This window comes from Homo sapiens, chromosome 10 (genome assembly GCF_000001405.40).
Source record: "Homo sapiens chromosome 10, GRCh38.p14 Primary Assembly".
In the NCBI taxonomy this organism is placed as follows: Eukaryota; Metazoa; Chordata; class Mammalia; order Primates; family Hominidae; genus Homo; species Homo sapiens.
In genome coordinates, this window is record NC_000010.11 from 63423092 (window position 1) to 63441414 (window position 18323).

The following is an 18323-nucleotide window of genomic DNA, read 5'->3' on the forward strand; positions in this document are numbered from 1 at the left end:
GTAGCTGGGATTACAAGCATGTGCCACCACACCCAGCTAATTTTTGTATTTTTCATAGAAACGGGGTTTCACCATGTTAGCCAGGCTGTTCTTAAACTCCTGACCTCTGGTGATATGCCCACCTCAGCCTTCCAAACTGCTGGGATTACAGGCGTGAGGCACCGCACCTGGCCCAAAACTTTTTCATCATCCCAAATAGGAACTCTGCATCCATTAAGCAATAACTCCTCATTCTCATCTCCCCCCATCCCCTGGTAATCACTAATTTACTGTCTCTATGAATTTGCCTATTCTAGATTTAAGTGGAATAATATATCTGTCCTTTTGTGTCTGGCTTACTTCACATAGTATAGTGTTTTTAAGGATTATCCATATGTTGTATCATGCCTCAGAACTTCCTTTTTAGGCACCAATGATATTCCACTGTATTATATAGCCACCTCACTTTATTTATCAATTCCTCTGTTGCTGGACATTTGGGTTATTTCTGCCTTTTGTCTATTTTGAATAATGGTACTGGCATACAAGTATCTGTTTGAGTCTTTCAGTTCTTTTGGATAAATATGTAGAATTGAAATTGCTGAGTCATATGGTAATTCCATGTTTAGCTTTTCGAGGAATTGCCAAGCTGCTTTCAACAGTGGCTAAACCATTTTACGTTCCCATCATCAATGTATGAAGGTTCCAATTTCTCCAATCCTCTCCAACACTTGATGTTTTCCAGGTTTTGTATTTTTTAAAAAAATTATAGTCATATTAGTAAGTTTGAATCTCACAGTGGTTTTGATTTACATTTGCGTAAAGATACTGACGATCTTGCCTTATGTTTAATGGCCATTTTCATATCTTTGTAGCAATTTCTATTCAAGCCCTTTTCCCATTTTAAAATTGGGTTGTTTTCCTGTTGTTCAAGTTTTAGAAGTTCTTTATATATTCTGCATATTAAACCATTGTCAGACATATGATTGTGTGTATTTTTTTAATTAAAAAATGGATTTTTAGAGACAAGATCTTACTGTCAGCATTATCGTGGTTCACTGTAACCTCATGGACTGAAGTGACTGAAGGTGTAAACCTCCTGCACCTCAGCCTCCTGAGTAGCAGCTGGGACTACAGGTACAAATCACCATACCCAGCTTTTTTTTTTTTTTTTTAAGTAGAGACAGTGTCTCGCCATATTGCCCACGCTGGTCTTGAACTCCTGATCTCAAGCAATACCCCTGCCATGGCCTCCCAAAGTGATGGGATTACAGGCATGAGCCACTGCACATGGCCTGTATTTTTGAAATGAAAAACAAAATGACACTTCTTCATATAAAACTATTGTTTATATGGAAAAATCAGTGTTGTTTTAAAGTGGCTTGCTCAACATCATCTTTAACTTACACAAAAACCATTATTATTTCTTTTTTTTTTTTTTTTTTTTTCTTTTTGAGACCGGGTCTCATTCTGTTGCCTGTGCTGGAGTACAATGATGCGACTGTGGCTCACTGCAGCCTCGACCTCCTGGGCTCAAGCAATCCTCCTACCTCAGCCTCCCAAGTAGCTGGGATTACAGGTGTGAGCCACCATGCTTGGCCCAAAACCCATTATTTTAAATAATCTGGATCTATCATTCAGACCTGAACATCATGATAAAAGGTATTACAATTTCTTGAGAAAAAAGTATAAACTGCTCAATCAGCAAAAGCAAACTCTCGACACCAGATTTTCTTTACTCAGAGAAATAAAAGTGATGATACATTTGGGGTATTATAAGACCACATTCAAATCTGCAATGGGACATCAAGAAAACTTTTTCAGAACTGAACACAATCAATGAGTAAGTTAGAAATCCTCCCGCCACTATTTCTCATGCTGAAACATTCAACCCTTCAGCTTTTAACTGTGGCCGCTCACCAACTTACCAGCTTGAAAATATCTTTCCATAATTTCTACTCTATTACACATAAACACCTAGAACTACAGGACACAGGCACTAACTACTTAACTGCTATTTCTAATTTTAGAAATTCACCTTATTTTCTGGGAAAAAAATAAAAGTGGAAAAGATGGGAACCCTGAAGTAAAATATAGGTATAAATACAGATAAAATTTTGAACAACTGCAAATAATATATTTCCTTTAAACTGACATGAAGCTATTAATACTATATCCTTAAATTATAAAAAATTTTAAAACTGAATTTTGATATAGTCAGGCATGCAGGGGAGGCCAGAAAGCCAAAATTTTTAGGTGAATTTTAAAACACAGTAAAAAATTCAGTGGTAGTTTAGATCTTATGAGATTAAAAGTCTCTATACAATCTACAAAGAAATAAGGAGTGATGAAACTGCTCCTGTGAATTCTCTAAACCATGTCCAAACTGCATATCACATGACAAATAAAATCTCAGTCAAAACTGAAAAGTCTGGGCGCAGTGGCTCATGTCTCTAATCCCAGGACTTTGGGAGGCCAAGACAGGCAGATCGCTTGAGCCCAGGAGTTCAAGACCAGGGTGGGTAACATGGCGAGATCCCATCTCTACAAAAAATAAAAAAAATTAGCCAGGCATGGTTGTGCACACCTGTATCCCAGCTACTTGGGAGGCTAAGGTGGGAGGACTGCTTAGGCCCAGGAGGAGAAGGTGGCAGTGAGCCAAGATTGCACCACTGCACTCCGGCCTGGGAAACAGAGCAACACCCTGTTTCAAAATAAAAACACAAAAGTTGAAACAATAATTAAACATTTTATATGACCGAATACTCTGCAAATACATTCCCCTCAACGGAAATATATTCTATGTGAGTGTTCTTGAATTTGGAGATATGCAAAGGCCAAGGACACAGCCCTACTGAATGTCAATGTTTACTATGTAAGTTAGGGAAAACACATACACAGGCATAAGTTTAAAAACAAATTTTAAGACATTTTTGTAGGCATTATTTTTCTATATTGTTCTTCTATATTTATTTTTCGGTAAGATGTAAAAGGATGTGACACAATGCATTTAAGAATTTCTTGCCAGGCCTGGTGGCTCACGATTGTAATTCCAGCACTTTGGGAGGCCAAGGCAGAAGAATTGCTTGAGGCCAGAGGTTTGAGACCAGCCTGGGCAATACAGCAACACCCACCCTCTCTCTACAAAAAAATTTAAAAATTAGCCAGGTGTGGTGGTGCATACTGGTAGTCCTCACAGGATCCTTGGGGCCCAGGAGTTCAAGGCTGCAGTGAGCTATGAATACCACTGCACTTAAGTCTGGGCTACAGAGCAAAACCCTATCTATTAAAAAAAAAATTCTTAAACGTAAGAGACTGTATTACTACTACACAGTAAATATAAAAAGACAATGACACTTTGGGAGGCCAAGGCAGGTGGATCACGATGTCAGGAGTTTGAGACTAGCCTGACCAACATGGTGAAACCCCGTCTCTACTGAAAATACAAAAATTAGCTGGGCGTGGTGGTGCGCGCCTGTAATCTCAGCTACCCAGGAGGCTGAGGCAGGAGAATCACCTGAACCCAGGAGGCGGAAGTTGCAGTGAGCCAAGATCGCGCCATTGCACTCCAGCCTGGGAGACTCCGTCTCAAAAAAAAAAGACAATGGAATCATCCCCAACACATACCTTAGCCACAGGTTACTTACTATCCTTATGAAAATCTCATTTCACAAGAAAGAAAATGAAATATATGAAGTTTTTTCCTTTTCACCACTAGTTTTAGAAGTCTTACTCTGAGTATCTAGTGTAAGATAATATTTTCTCCAAAAGAGAAAAAGATAGAAAATTAGTAATGTACTTGGCTTCATGACTCCATTACTGATTTAGCATAGTTAAAAATACACTTTATCATCAAGTATAAAACTAACTAATCAGATGTTTTAACATTCCCTTTGCTTCGATTATTTCCTTAAAAAGCACAGATTTAAAAATAACTTTAAGACATCCTCGTTAAAAATAAGTATCATGGTTTATAATGTGGTTTGTGTATGTAAGTAATGCCGTCCACACTTATAACAGCATTTGCTATACACAACTCTTTTAAGATATATTAAGACAGCGGACAACTCATGGCGGTGGCGGCAGCAGCTGCTTGGGCATGGTGCAGTGGTGACTGAGCTACGAGCCTGGCGGCGGGTGTTCGCCGAGCTCCGGTCCCCGCGTGTCTCCCAGAAGGCGGTGAACACCTGGTCCCAGGAACTCTGGAGCCCACTCCAGCCGGGACGATGGTGAAGTATTTCCTGGGCCAGGGCGTGCTCCAGAGTTCCTGGGACCAAGTGTTCACCGCCTTCTGGCATCAGTACCCAAATCCCTATAGCAAACATGTCTTGACGGAAGACACAGTACACCGGGAGGTGACTGCTGACCAGAAACTGCTGTCCCAGCAACTCCTGACCAAGACCAACAGGATGTCCCACTGGGCCAAGCAACTGTTTCCTGCCAATGTTCTTCATTCAGTGTACATCCTGGAGGACTCTATTGTGGACCCACAGAATCAGACCATGACCACCTTCACCTGGAACATCAACCATGCCCGGCTGATGGTGGTGGAGAAACAGTGTGTTTACTGTATGAACTCTAACAACAGTGGCTGGACCGAAATCCGCAGAGAAGCCTGGGTCTCCTCTAGCTTATTTGGTGTCTCCAGAAGTGTCCAGGAATTTGGTCTTGCCCAGTTCAAAAGCAACGTGACCAAGACTATGAAGGGTTTTGAATATATCTTGGCAAAGATGAAATGCAAGGCCCCTTCTAAAACACTTGTTGAGACAGCCAAGGAAGCCAAGGAGCAGGCAAAGGAGATGGCACTGGCAGCTACAGAGAAGGCAAGGACCTCACCAGCAAGGCAGCCACCTAGAAGCAGCAGCAGCAGCAGTTTGTGTGGCCAGCTCATTGCCACCACAGCATCCCAGACAGTTTGGCTTAGCCCCCTCTGTGCTGTCCACTGTACTTTATCATTAAAAATCAATTTCCAGCCCTAAAAATACACACAACACACATATATATATATTAAGACAGCTGATCAATTACTTTACCAAACATCATAGATTTTATGAAGGAATTCATATGAGAGGAGGGGACTAAAAAAACAAGTCACCTTAAAAACAGGAAAACATTTTTCTTTTCACAGTAAAGAAACTACATCAATCACTTTTTTTAAATAAAATTCTCCTTTGCAAATGTATATACTTAAGTTTGCATACTAAGAATATTCTTTGTAACTGATTTCAATTACACAGTGCCAGTAAAGAACATTTTTCTCTAACTTGCATTAATATTGACAAAAGATCAATTAACGAAATTTTACAAATTATTTCACAAAGATTACAAAAGACTCATTCATTACAAAACATTCACTACTTGAAATGTCAGAACAGTGTTCAACAGGTCAAAGAAATCAACTGAATGTTTCTGTAGTTCTGATCCTTAAAATTCCTTTCTTGATGTAGTAGGAACTAAATTTGCACAGAAGCAGGGCTTTGGAATAGATGAGAAACTTTTCAGTGACTATAAGCAGAAACATATACTGGAACAAAACCATTCTTCAGTTCAAGTTACTATTGATCGTGATTACCTCACCAGTTAGACTATGGAAACAAAACATAAAAGAAAATTAAGAACAATGAAAAAAAGAGAAAAAACAATAAGGGCAAGAAAGTAAAACTCAAAAATGCTAATTGTTCAATACCATGTATCTTAACTTTCCCTTATCCTTGACTTTTATCTAAGTATTTCTGAAATACCCATACTATTATAATAATAATACTCTTATCTAAGTCTCAGAATCTAACAAGAAAAAAATACTCGGTCAAGGTAAGCCAGGTTATGTAGCTACACAAAGAACCATAAAATCTCTGGCTTAAAATAAAATTTACTTCTTCAGGCTGTCCATTCCTTATTGACAGGTCTTTCTTTTGGTGGGGGGGAGGGGCACGGAATTTCACTCTTGTTACCCAGGCTGGAGTGCAATGGCACGATCTCAGCTTACCGTAACCTCTACCTCCCGGGTTCAAGAGAGTCTCCTGCCTCGGCCTCCCGGGTAGCTGGGATTACAAACATGCACAACCACACCTGCCTAATTTTATATTTTTAGTAGAGACAGGGTTTCTTCATGATGGCAGGCTGGTCTCAAACTCCTGACCTCAGGTGATCCACCCACCTCAGCCTCCCAAAGTGCTGGGATTACAGGCATGAGCTACCGAGCCCAGCCTGACAGGTCTTTTTTAACTCAGGGGGAATAGCACCTCAAAATGTTGCCTCAGGATCTGAGAACGGAAGAAGAAAAAAAAAAGACAGCTTTGAAGATCTCATACTGGAACTTAAATACTGCAGCAATATTAGGATGCACAATTTCCTTTCAAACATCTGTTTTTCTCACAACTCATTTATTGGCCAGAATTAGTCACAGCCCCTAACATGAAGGATGAGAACAAAAACTATTTGGCAAACAGCATTAATGACCAACACAGATGCATAAAACGAGTTGCTTTGATACAATGTTACATAGGCTTTGAGATTCAAGGCAAAATTTAAAGTAGCCTGCAGGGAAAATGTTGTGAGCAAAGGTTTTCCTATTCTAAAACATTTGCCAGTTGAGAAAGCAGCACCTTGGCATCTCAAACAAGTATGAATACTCAGCACAATCAAAATAAAAAACCAAAGCAAAAAGAAGAATCATCACTATGCCTCTTATTATAGCACTATATTACTACAAATAAGAAGGTTTATGATTTTAGTATCTCTAACTGAATGCTCCAACAGCATTTAAATTCACCCACTCAATTTCCTCTCAAGACACCATCCATATATATTCAACAAACCTATTCAGAGTTCCTACTGTGAGCTACTTGCTATCCTAGTAATTGTAAACAGGGAAGTAAGCTCTTATCTAAGGACTAAAAACTCTATCCCATTTCTAAATATCCAGATTCAATATTAAGAATAAAAAAATCATGTTTATTTATGCACAACTATTTCTAAAGCCACTTTTTAAAAAAGTTGGTATGGTTCCAAGACAACTCAATGGGGGAAAGAAGAGTCTCTTAAATAGTACTGGGACAACTGGGTTTCCATATACAAAAAATAAAGTTGGGAAATTACTTCACACCATATACAAAACTAACTCAAAACAAATCAGAGACCAATATGTAAGACCCATAACTATCAAACTCTTAGAAGAAAACATATAAGAATATCTTTGTGACATTGAGTTGGGCAATGGTTTCTTAGATGTGACACCAAAAGCACAAGTAACAAAAGAAAACATAAATTGGGCTTCATCAAAATCAAGAGTGAAAAGACAAGCTAAAGAATAGAAGAAAATATTTGCAAATCATTATCTGATAAGGAAGTTGTCTTAACAACATGCTACAACATGAATAAATCTTGAGAGCATTAAGTGAAAGAAAGCTAGATGCAAAAGGGCACAGATTATATGATTTCATTTATATGGAATGTTCACAACAGACATTTCCATAGAGACAAGAGAGTAGATAAGCGGTTGCCAAAGGGCTGGAAGTGGCAGGAAGAGGAACACAAGTGACTGCTAACGGATAGTGAGTTTCTTTTGGGGGTATACTAAAATTAGATAGGGGTCATGGTTGCACAACTCTGTGGTATACTACAAATCAATGAATTTTATAAGGTTTAATTTTATGCTATGTAAATTATATCTCAATAAAACTATCTAATTTATTTATTTTAGAGACAAGAGCTCACTCACTGGAGAGCAGTGGCATGATCACAGGTCACCGCATCCTGGAATTCCTGGGCTCATGAGATCCTCGCACCTCAGCTTCCCGAGTAGCTGGGACTACAAGGTGTTTAACACCATACCGGCTAATTTTTGTTTTGTTTTGTTTCGTTCGATGAAGACGAACTCCTGGGTTCATGCAATCCTCCCACCTCGCTTCCCAAAGTGTTAGGAGTATAGACGTGATCCACTGACTCTGGCAAAACTATTTTTTTAAAAAAGTGACAATGGCTTAACACCTACATTAGATGACAATAAAACCAGTGCAGATGGTCATGAAAAGCAAACAAATTCAGGGATTATAGACTTTATAACCAAGTATATCTACTGGTCTGTGAAAGGAGGAAATGACAGAGTATGAACAATAAAATACTATAACATATATTGACTTACAAACATTAATCACTTCTGCTTTCAAAACATTTGGAGGGCAACCATCTCATTCAAAAAGACCAACTTAATTATTGAGGAAGTTAAGAGAATAAAAGCTAAGGGAAAAAATAAGATTAATGTACAGAAATATGTAAGAATGACATATTGTAGTTTTATGCTTTCAGAAGAGGCACAGTTATGGAAAATGAGGCCAACCTATGGGTATAACAGAAGGCTCCTAAAGTATGGTGGTTTCTGAGGTAGGGACTTCAAGTTGTAAATACAGTATCCATCTACTCCTGCTTTCTTACCAAAAGAACACTGATTTTGCTAGGTGCAATAATGGACTATCCTAAAATTTTTAAGGTTCTGGAAGACAGAGACGATAATATGACGTAATTCTGGTAAATAAGATGTAATATTTGAGATGACTTGGGGTGAGTTTTAGAAAGCTCCTTGACTAGGGGCAAACTAAGGTGATATTGTAACTCAGGGTCCCCAGGTTTTGGGGTATGCACTGTGAAAAAGTACTCACTTGCGGCCGGGCGCAGTGGCGCACGCCTGTAATCCCAGCACTTTGGGAGGCCGAGGCGGGCGGATCACGAGGTCCAGAGATAGAGACCACCCTGGCCAACAAGGTGAAACCCCATCTCTACTAAAAGTACAAAAATTAGCTGGGCATGGTGGTGCATGCCTGTAGTCCCAACTAATCGGGAGGCTGAGGCAGGACAATCGCTTGAACCCAGGGGACAGGGGTTGCGGTGAGCCAAGATGGCGTCACTGCACTCCAGCCTGGCGACAGAGCAAGACTCCGTCTGAAAAGAAAAAGAAAAAGAAAACTCACTTTTGTAACTGTTGCGCCTTGAGTTCTTGTTGTTTCAAGAAGTTCCAGAAAGAAGCTCAGCCCAGTGGTTGGGTCCAGAGATGACTAAACTGGAGATGAACTTCTGGCAAACTCTCCTCACTACCATACTAAAATCCCCACCCAGGAAGTAGTTTATGTGCCATTTTCTATACATCTGATGTATGTAAAAGCATGATAAATGTGCCTGCACTGCCTTTATTCCACCTCTAATACAATGACTCAGCTAACTAGCCCGGGTGTTCACCTTTGTTTGGGGAGGCACTGCCTTTGGGACTATCCCTAGTGTCCTCCTTACTTGGTGCAAGTAATAAAATCCCCCTGTGAAATCATACTTGGTTGTGGTCACTGGACTTGTCATCCACCAAGCAAATGAACCCACCCATTGTGTGTGTGTGACACTATGAGCCTTCTTGCCCTTTTCTGCTTCCTCCTCCTTCCTGCCTGGAGCTGAACTAAGGAAGACAACAACAGTATCAGCTATATTGTAACTGACCATGAGGAAAAGACCAAGAGAACAACAGCCCAGTCTTCAACAGCCCTGGCATCCTTAAATGATCACATCAACTCTGGAATGTCTACTTCTGGACTTAGAAGGAAAACCTTATCTATTTTGTTTAACCACTGTTAATTGGCATTGAGGAAAAAATACCATGAGACAAAAACTTGAAAAGATCAGATACAAGTTCATAATAAAAACACAGAGACCTAGAACAGCCATAAGAAGCATACAACATTGTTGATGTTTATTTTACAGAACTTTTAGATTACACCTAAAAACAGAAATTCACCGACTGAATACCTAAGATGATGATCACAATGCTATGAACATTTCTTAATCTTTCATGACAATTCTAAGACTAACTGAATGATTTCCTTACACAGGAGATCTCAGTAAAGAAAAGGTGATGCTTTCATTAACTGTCCTGAGTTCTTCTCTTCACTGTCAACCTACCATAGGTTATAAACACAAAATAAAAATAATCTGTTTTCCTATATACATGGATCTCAAACAAGGGATTTATTTATTTTATTATTATCATTTTTTTTTTTTGAGACAGAGTTTTGCTCTTGTTGCCCAGGCTGGAGTGCAATGCCGCGATCTGGGCTCACCACAACCTCTGCCTCCCGACCCCAGTTCAAGCGATTCTCCTGCCTCAGCCTCCCGAGTAGCTGGGATTACAGGAAAGCGCTACCATGCCCGGCTAATTCTGTATTTTTAGTAGAGATGGTGTTTCTTCATGTTGGTCAGGCTGGTCTCGAACTCCTAACCTCAGGTGATCCGCTCGCCTTGGCCTCCCAAAGTGCTGGGATTACAGGCTTGTGCCACCGCGCCCGGCCTAAGGGAGTTATTTATTTATTTAGATACTGAGAATTTAAAAAATAGCAGCAATGGCTTAACTGTAACATCAGGAATAACTCATAATTCAATTACGTCATTCACAAACCATGATGATAATATTCATATCTCCTCAATGACAATTTTCAAACTCTACTGGGCAAGAAACAATGTACTCTTTTCTTTTCTTTTCTTTTTTTTTTTTTTTTTGAGACAGGGTCTCGCTTTGATGCTGAGGCTGGAGTGCAAGGGTGAGATCATGGCTCACTGCAGTTTCGACCTCTGGCACTCAAGTGATCCTCCCACCTCAGCCTCCCAAGTAGCTGATACTACACACGTGTACCACCACATGCAGTTAATTATTTTTTGTACATATGGGGTCCCACTATGTTACCCAGGCTGATCTTGAACTCTTGGCCTCAAGCAATCCTCCCACCTCAGTCTCCCAAAGTGCTGGGATTACGGGTCTGAGTCACTGTACCTGGCCCATACGATATAAATTGAGTTCCAAAAAAAAAAAAAAGGGAAAATTAAGCTAACAATTTAGAGAGGGTATGCTGTGACTAAACTAGGAATCATTTCAGTTACAGCTAAATGCTGAAATGCAAACAAAATATTACAGTATAAACGTATCAAGAGAAATCCCAAATCCAGTTTTTATGTTTAATGTCCCAAAATCTAAATTGTCATATAAACCAACAAAACACTTCTACAAGCCAGTATTTTGCAGCTTTGGGGCTAACATCTATTGGGTACCCAACATGTACATTTTATTTAAATTTTAATAACAAAAAGCTAAAATTTAATAAGCAGACTTCTGTTTTCAGTGAGATGAATTAGCAGAGTTGGCATTTATGTTTCTGCCTGAAACAACAAAAAACCTGGAAAAACAGATGAAACAATTAAGATGCAACATACGTTACAAACGGCAATGGACTAGGTTATGGGAAACAAATTATGTAAGCTTTCTGATCACACCAGTTTAACTGACTGAAGTTTCCAAACTATCCTGCAAAGAAGGGGGAAATCACATGGGATTCAGGAGCCTTTGTAAGTCAAGGAGATAAGGCTAGAAAGAAGTCCAGGGAGGCTAAGACTCTGGAGTTCTCAGGACACAATACTAGAGAGGAATAAGCTACCGAGAGAGGAAGATTTCCAGAGGAGGTTCTCTCTAAGCAATGAGATAAAGATTGACCAACCTGGGCCAGGCACAGTGGCTCACGCAGTAAACCCTAGCACTTTGGGAGGCCAAGGCGGGAAGGATCACTTGAGCCCAGGAGTTCAAGATCAGCCTGGGCAACAAAGTCAGAGCGCATCTATTAAGAAAAACAAACAAAAAAAAAAGATTGACCAAGCCTATGTGCTTTTAAGAAGCTACACAAAGGTGGATGAAACAAACTGAAAGAATGAGAGAGTGAAATTCTCTAAGTTCACCTGAGTTTGGAATAGTTCCTGTTCCCAACAGTTGGAGTGATTAACTTCGTAATTTACAGGGCACTGAAAAAACTCACAAAGATTTGTAATGGACAAAAAAATTGCCCTAGAATAATATCTGCTGTAAAATGCCCTCCTCACAACACTTCCTCATACCAATAGCATATCTTTAGAACACCAATTAAAATCTCACATTGTCTGCGAAATAGCCTACACAAAAATGTTGTCTCTACTGAACAATGCGCTCAAGTATTTGCATTTGGAATAAATCATTTCCTGACCTGTAATCTTCTCATATAAATCACCTTTTATCATTCAGCTGAGATTATAACTTGCACTCCTTTACTACAACAGTGCCTTACAGATCAATTTGCTGTTTTCTGTATACATGCCAGTCCAGGATGTAACACACTGCTATTTTAGTGAGGTTCACTTTCACTCCACAAACAAAATCTCCTGCTTGAACAATTTCTAGCTTTGGCTTATTTTTTCCAGAAAAGAAACAGTTGTACTTTTAACAGGCTGAATAATTGAAAAGTGGGAGGGAATGACTGAATAAATCAAATAAGTAGAACAGAGACAAAACTAATATTTAATTTGGAAAGATTATAGTAAACACAGATTGTAACAGCAAATAGTCCAAGAAATGGAAAATGAAAAACTTGGAAAAGAAATTTCTAATTTCTGAGGATTAATATGTATTTCTGAGTTTTAGAATATTCTACCGGCTCACAGTGTCCCACATAGTGACTCCTGAATTCCAGTTGAAAATGACTTAAGAGGGTGACAATGCCGGGCGCAGTGGCTTACATCTGTAATCCCAGCACTTTGGGAGGCTGAGGCGCGTGGACTGGCTGAGGTCAGGAGTTCGACACGAATCTGGCCAACATGGTAAAACACCATCTCTATTAAAAGTACAAAAATTAGCTGGCATGGTGGCATGCGCCTATAATCCCAGCTACGCAGGAGGCTGAGATATGAGAACTGCTAGAACCCAGGAGGCAGAAGTTGCAGTGAGCCAAGATCGCACCACTGCACTCCAACCTGGGAAACAGAGCAAGACGCTGTCTCAAACAAACAAACTAAAAAAGAGTGTGGCAAAATACTTGAGTACCCTCTCTAAATAAATACCCAATATGGTGGAAAGGTTAGATTCTATATTCAAAGAAAGGCAAAACCCTGAGATATTTTTACCTCATAGTTTTATATTCTATCAACAACAGTGCATTGGAAGGCATTAATATCTATGAAAGAGAAAAAAGAAGTGACTTCAATATGCAATATGTAATCACAGGCCTTGAGAGATTATATGAGGAGGGAGGAGGTGTTAAAGAGTATTAAAAATGCATATTTAAGTAGTAGCCGAATTCAACACAAGTTTCTGTTCTGTTTCACAACTGCAAATTTCTGTAAGCTAACCATAAATATTCAGTTGAATACAAGAGGAATAACAATTCTTCAATTACCTTATGTTAATGTAACAGTTTCAAAGGTGCCACAGTGAAGTAAACAATGACTCCAGCTCTTAAATTCCCCAAGTTAAAATCACTCTTAAAATCTCCTTTGAAGCTACTTACTAGCTCTCTTGTATGGTGGTGTAGCTGTTTCCTCTACCATGATTTTCAGACTTCTATCCTCTCATCTCTAAAAATCAGTACCTTGAAATCTGAACAGCACATTATACTAACCTACTACCATCAACCAGTCATCCACCACACTCATGCGTACCCTAAAATGTTATTCATCATGCCATTCAATATTATTTCTGTCCTAGTTTCTGTCCAATAATCATTTCTGGTGATTTCAGTATCCACAGTGATGACTGTTTTAATTGTTCCATTTCTCATTTCTTTGATTTCCTCTTCTTTAATGATTTTGTCCTCAACCTTATCTCAACCACTGACTTACCATGGCATACTCTAGACCAGAGGATCTTTAACTTTACTCAGGCAATATAAACCTATGGATTATCCTTTCAGACATAAGAAATCCTATCTTAGACCCTTATCATGGCCCCAAACAGCAATCCCTCAAAAATCTCGATTTCAAGCATCTTTCTCTCTCTCATGCCACTACCTCCTATTTTTCTTTTTCACATTCAAGTTCCCCTGGACCTAAGATTCACTGATCTCAACACCATTTCATTGCTATTCATCTCTCATTTTCTCACTTTTTTGCTCACCAAATGTAAAATCCTAGGTCTATCATTAGAGTAATTCATTTGCCCATCTCTGAATGCATCTTAGTTTTCCAGCCAAACCCCAATCATCATTAAATCCAACTCTCCACCTACTTTGTTTCTGTATCTAATCAATCAGCTGAACATAGCTGGAGATGAGTGACTGTAGGGAAATGAATGATGAATTCATCAAAGATTAACGATGTCAGTTAAAAAATCATGACCAATGTCAAGTCAGTCCTTGCTGTACATAATTTCCTTATTTCATTCAATCTTTACTCCCCTAGATGACTATTTCATAACTTCTCTTCTCAAATCCTATCAGCTGCTATTTCACTAAAAAGCAGAAGCAATCAGATTTCCACAAGCTCTTACCTCTCTCTCACTACCTAGCTACCTACAGCTATTCTCAAATACAGTATCTCTTTCTTCTCTTCTATTACTAGGGATTAAGTTTATGGTACTATCTAAGGCCAATTCTACTACTACCTAAAGACAGGGTTCTAGTAATTCCTCCTTAGTTGCATCATCAACTTAATCCTATCTCTGAATTGTTTTCATCAACATACAAATATGGTATATTGTCTTCCATTTTACAAAATCTTATCTTCCTCCTAAAGCTCTGCTCCATTTCTCTTTTTCCCAAATGCCTTGTCAATAATCTCTGTCTCCAATCTACTACCTCCAGTTCTCTAGTAAACTCACTTTATCAGGCTTTTGTTCCCACTATTACACTGAAACTGCTGATCAAGGTTACCAATGACTCATTAGCTAAAACTGAATTGTAGATTCTCAGCCTTTATCTTACTTCACTAAGCAGCATTTGACACAACCAGTAATCCCTCCTCTTCGAAACACTTTTTCCACTAAGCTTTCTGAACATCACTTCTGGATTTCATACCTCCCTGTCCCTTCTTTCTCATATATCTAATCTTTAAAAACTGCTCCAGGGTTTAACACTTAGGTATGTTCTATATTCACTCTCTACATCAACTCATTCAGTCTGATAGCTTTAAATGCCATTTATATACTGACTACTCCCAGATTCTCCAGCCTAGACCTCTCCCTTTAACTAACAAACATGATACTTTAAGTAACTGCCTGTCTAAATAAGCATCTCAAATTTAACACATCTAAAAGACAGATTCCCAATCCCCAGTATTATTACCGCTATCACCACCACTCTCCAAAATGTCTGCTCCTCCAGTCAATTCTCATCTGAAAAAAAATGGTAACTCTATGTTTTGCAGGAGCCAAAACCTTAGAACCCATCTTAAACCCTGTCTCTCACATCAGATGCAATTCAGCAACCCACTCTTATCAATTCTGTGTTGGAAATAAATATGAATCTGAGCATTTTTCACCACCTCTACCATTGCTATCACCATGATCTAATGCTACCACAGAATCGTTACAATTGCCTCCTAACCGCTCTCCCTGCATCTGCCTCACCCCACACCCCAAGAGTCTACTATCAACAAAGAAAGTAGAGGGATCCTTTTAAAACCACCTCGTTCATGCCTTCCCATCTCATCCAGAATGAAAGCTTAATCCTTAAAATGTTCTATAAGGTCCTTCACAAACTATCCCCTGCCATCCTGTTCCCCTTCTGATCTTTTCCTTCTCCTCTCCCACTTTTCACTGCTCTCTGACCATACCACATTCACTGCTCCTCAAATACGCTAGGCTCATTCCCAATCTCAGGGGCTGTGTATTTTGCTCTTCCTTAGGCCTGGTACTTACTCCAGACATCTACGTGACTAGCTTCCTTGTTTCCTTCAGGTCTTCACTCAAAAGTCACCTACTCGGAGAGGCATTCTCTGGCTCCCTTATCTAAAATGTCACCTCCGCCCCCTCAACATTCATGCTTTTATTTTCTTTCCTGGTACTTTATCTTACATACCATTCATCATACTCATTTATCTTCTTATCTTTTGTCTCTCCTTCCATAAACTGATTTCCATAAGGGCAGCAATTTGATCCACTTCCTTTCACAACTTTATTCCCAGTGCCTGATATGTACAAGGCATGCAATAAGTATCTGCTGAATGGATAAATCTAGGATTGCCCCCTCATACTTCAATCTTTAACTGCTATCCAACACCTGTCAAAGACTAAATAACACTGATATTTGAAGATGCTTGTGTGAAAACGGTCTTCAAATACCACAGGATAAAGTATTAATGCCCATTAGTACATACTCAAAATTCTATCATTTTATAAAGCTGTATTTTTAGACCTCAGTAGCTTTCTTCTCTGTAGAAACAACAGTAAGTTATTGTGTAATGTTCTGTTCCTGGCTTTCACTGAGAATTATTATTTTTTAACAGCCACATGAAGAACCTCCACGCAAACCACAAAACTATTATAAACATCACTATTAATTACAACATTTAATATTACTTAAAGAGAAATGCGTTCTTTTTAAACTCAGCCAGGAAAAACAATCTCTTAAAAATTTATTTATTTCATTACTTACCAAATATATCCCTGACTCTCAACAACTCCACACAAGTAACAAATTTCAGAATTAAACACTTACCATTTGTTCATACATTTAAGTTGAGGAGGATATTTCTATTGAACCACCTCAGTTTACACGGATGGTTTTTAAGGCCTTATTTCTATTTTATCAATCTTATTCATAGTTATCCTTAACAAAAGTCACCTCAAATTATTTTATTTAGGTAAATAATTGAAAAACAGACCGTATAATTCTCTAATACTATCATATATAAAAACAACATGTAGATCATAAAAAAGTCACTTATATGTCATGAAGTCACTTCACTGACATATATACTGCAGTCCTTCTAGTCTACAGTTTATTTTTTTAAGTAATTTGACATAACAAAGTTAACTAGGAACTTATTTCTCTATCAGCTACAAGGATGACAATACCTACCAATTAGAGAACAGTGCGTATGCAGCAAGGGAATGAGATACAATGATGCCTAAGGTGACAGTGAGATATGAAAGCAACCTTAATCTACAGACAGTGTAAAGACACTGAGAAACATAGGCACATTACAGAAAACTAACCAGGATTACTGATGGATATTTTTTCAGTAACTATTGCCCACTTTGGGAGGCCAAGGTGGGCGGATCACCTGAGGTGAAGAGTTTGAGATCAGCCTGACCAACATAGTGAAACCCCATCTCCACTAAAAATACAAAAATTAGCTAAGCATGGTGGCAGGCGACTTTAATCTCAGCTACTCAGGAGGCTGAGGCAGGAGAATCGCTTGAACCTGGGAGATGGAGGTTGCAGTGAGCCAAGACTGCACCACTGCACTCCAGCTTGGGTGACAAGAGCAACACTCTGTCTCAAAAGAAAAAAAAAAAAAATATATATATATAGAGAGAGAGAGAGAGAGAGAGAGCGCAAGCGTGCGAGCACACGAAGGAGAGTCGATTAAGGAAGTATTACTCAAATCAATAAGAAAATTCTGCAATTTCAGTAAACATCCAGACATTCACATCTGCCTTTATAATACCTCAAATGATTCTAATTACATTGTTTTTCATTCAGAAGTTTCTAATCAACAAAATTCAAACACATTCTCTGAGCATCCACCAAATAATGGTAGCCTTTATAAAAAGTTTCTATGATCTACCTCTTAGAACCCCAGGAGACAACTGAGTCTCAGAAGGAAGAGAACCACCAGACTGTTGCTGGATATTTTAATTCAAAATATCTTCCTTGAAGACTGAGCCTTGAGGTTACTGACCTTTATTACTGTACTGTCTACTGAAGTCTCCCTAACACTAAGTGTGCACAACCAGGTTTAGTAAAAGAAACATAAAACGGCACTGTGGTAACTGCTTCATACAATTTCACTCAATTCATATAACAACCCTTTTAGGTAAAATAGTACCTATCTTATAGATCAAAAAAGCCATGGTTCAGAGAGGTTAAATCATACAAGTTAACAGTTATGAAGACAACCTACTATGAAGTCACTAACACAAACAAGTAGGAGGAAAAGTGCTTGAGGTCAGGGAAAACTTCCTGGAAGAACTGTGCTTTAAAAGGACAGTAGGAATTAACCAGGCACAGAGTAGGTGTAAAGGCAAAGGGATTGTAGGAAAAAGGCACAAACAGAAAAAGGCCGTGTGTAAAACAGTATTGCATATACAAAAGAACTGAAAGCTCTCTTTAATCCATTTATTTAGAAGACTCTCCCTTTTTTACACGGTTTAGACTGAATCTTGACAGTCACTTAATTCTGTAACTCCTAAAGGTGTCCTTGGATTCTATTACTGGGACCTAGTATAACACAAAAGAAAGTGGACTCTGGAGTCATAGGACCTGGGTTCAAATACTAGTTATCAGTTATAATATGCATGAGCTGGAGAAATTCTTCTAGTCTCTTTATTCCTCAGTTTCCAGACCTATAAAATGGAA

General features: G+C 38.8%; 1 protein-coding gene, 1 long non-coding RNA gene and 1 pseudogene across 11 annotated transcripts in view; 2 read left to right on the forward strand and 1 right to left on the reverse strand.

Annotated features, from left to right (window-relative positions):
* Positions 1-18323, reverse strand: part of JMJD1C (jumonji domain containing 1C) — a 354666-nt gene that overhangs the window by 255867 nt on the left and 80476 nt on the right. The gene's annotated exons all lie outside the window — the stretch shown is intronic.
* Positions 4040-4956, forward strand: PRELID1P3 (PRELID1 pseudogene 3; annotated as a pseudogene).
* Positions 7484-8111, forward strand: JMJD1C-AS2 (JMJD1C antisense RNA 2). Its single transcript, NR_134312.1, has 2 exons — positions 7484-7532; positions 7682-8111. It is a non-coding gene; the product is annotated as a JMJD1C antisense RNA 2 (long non-coding RNA).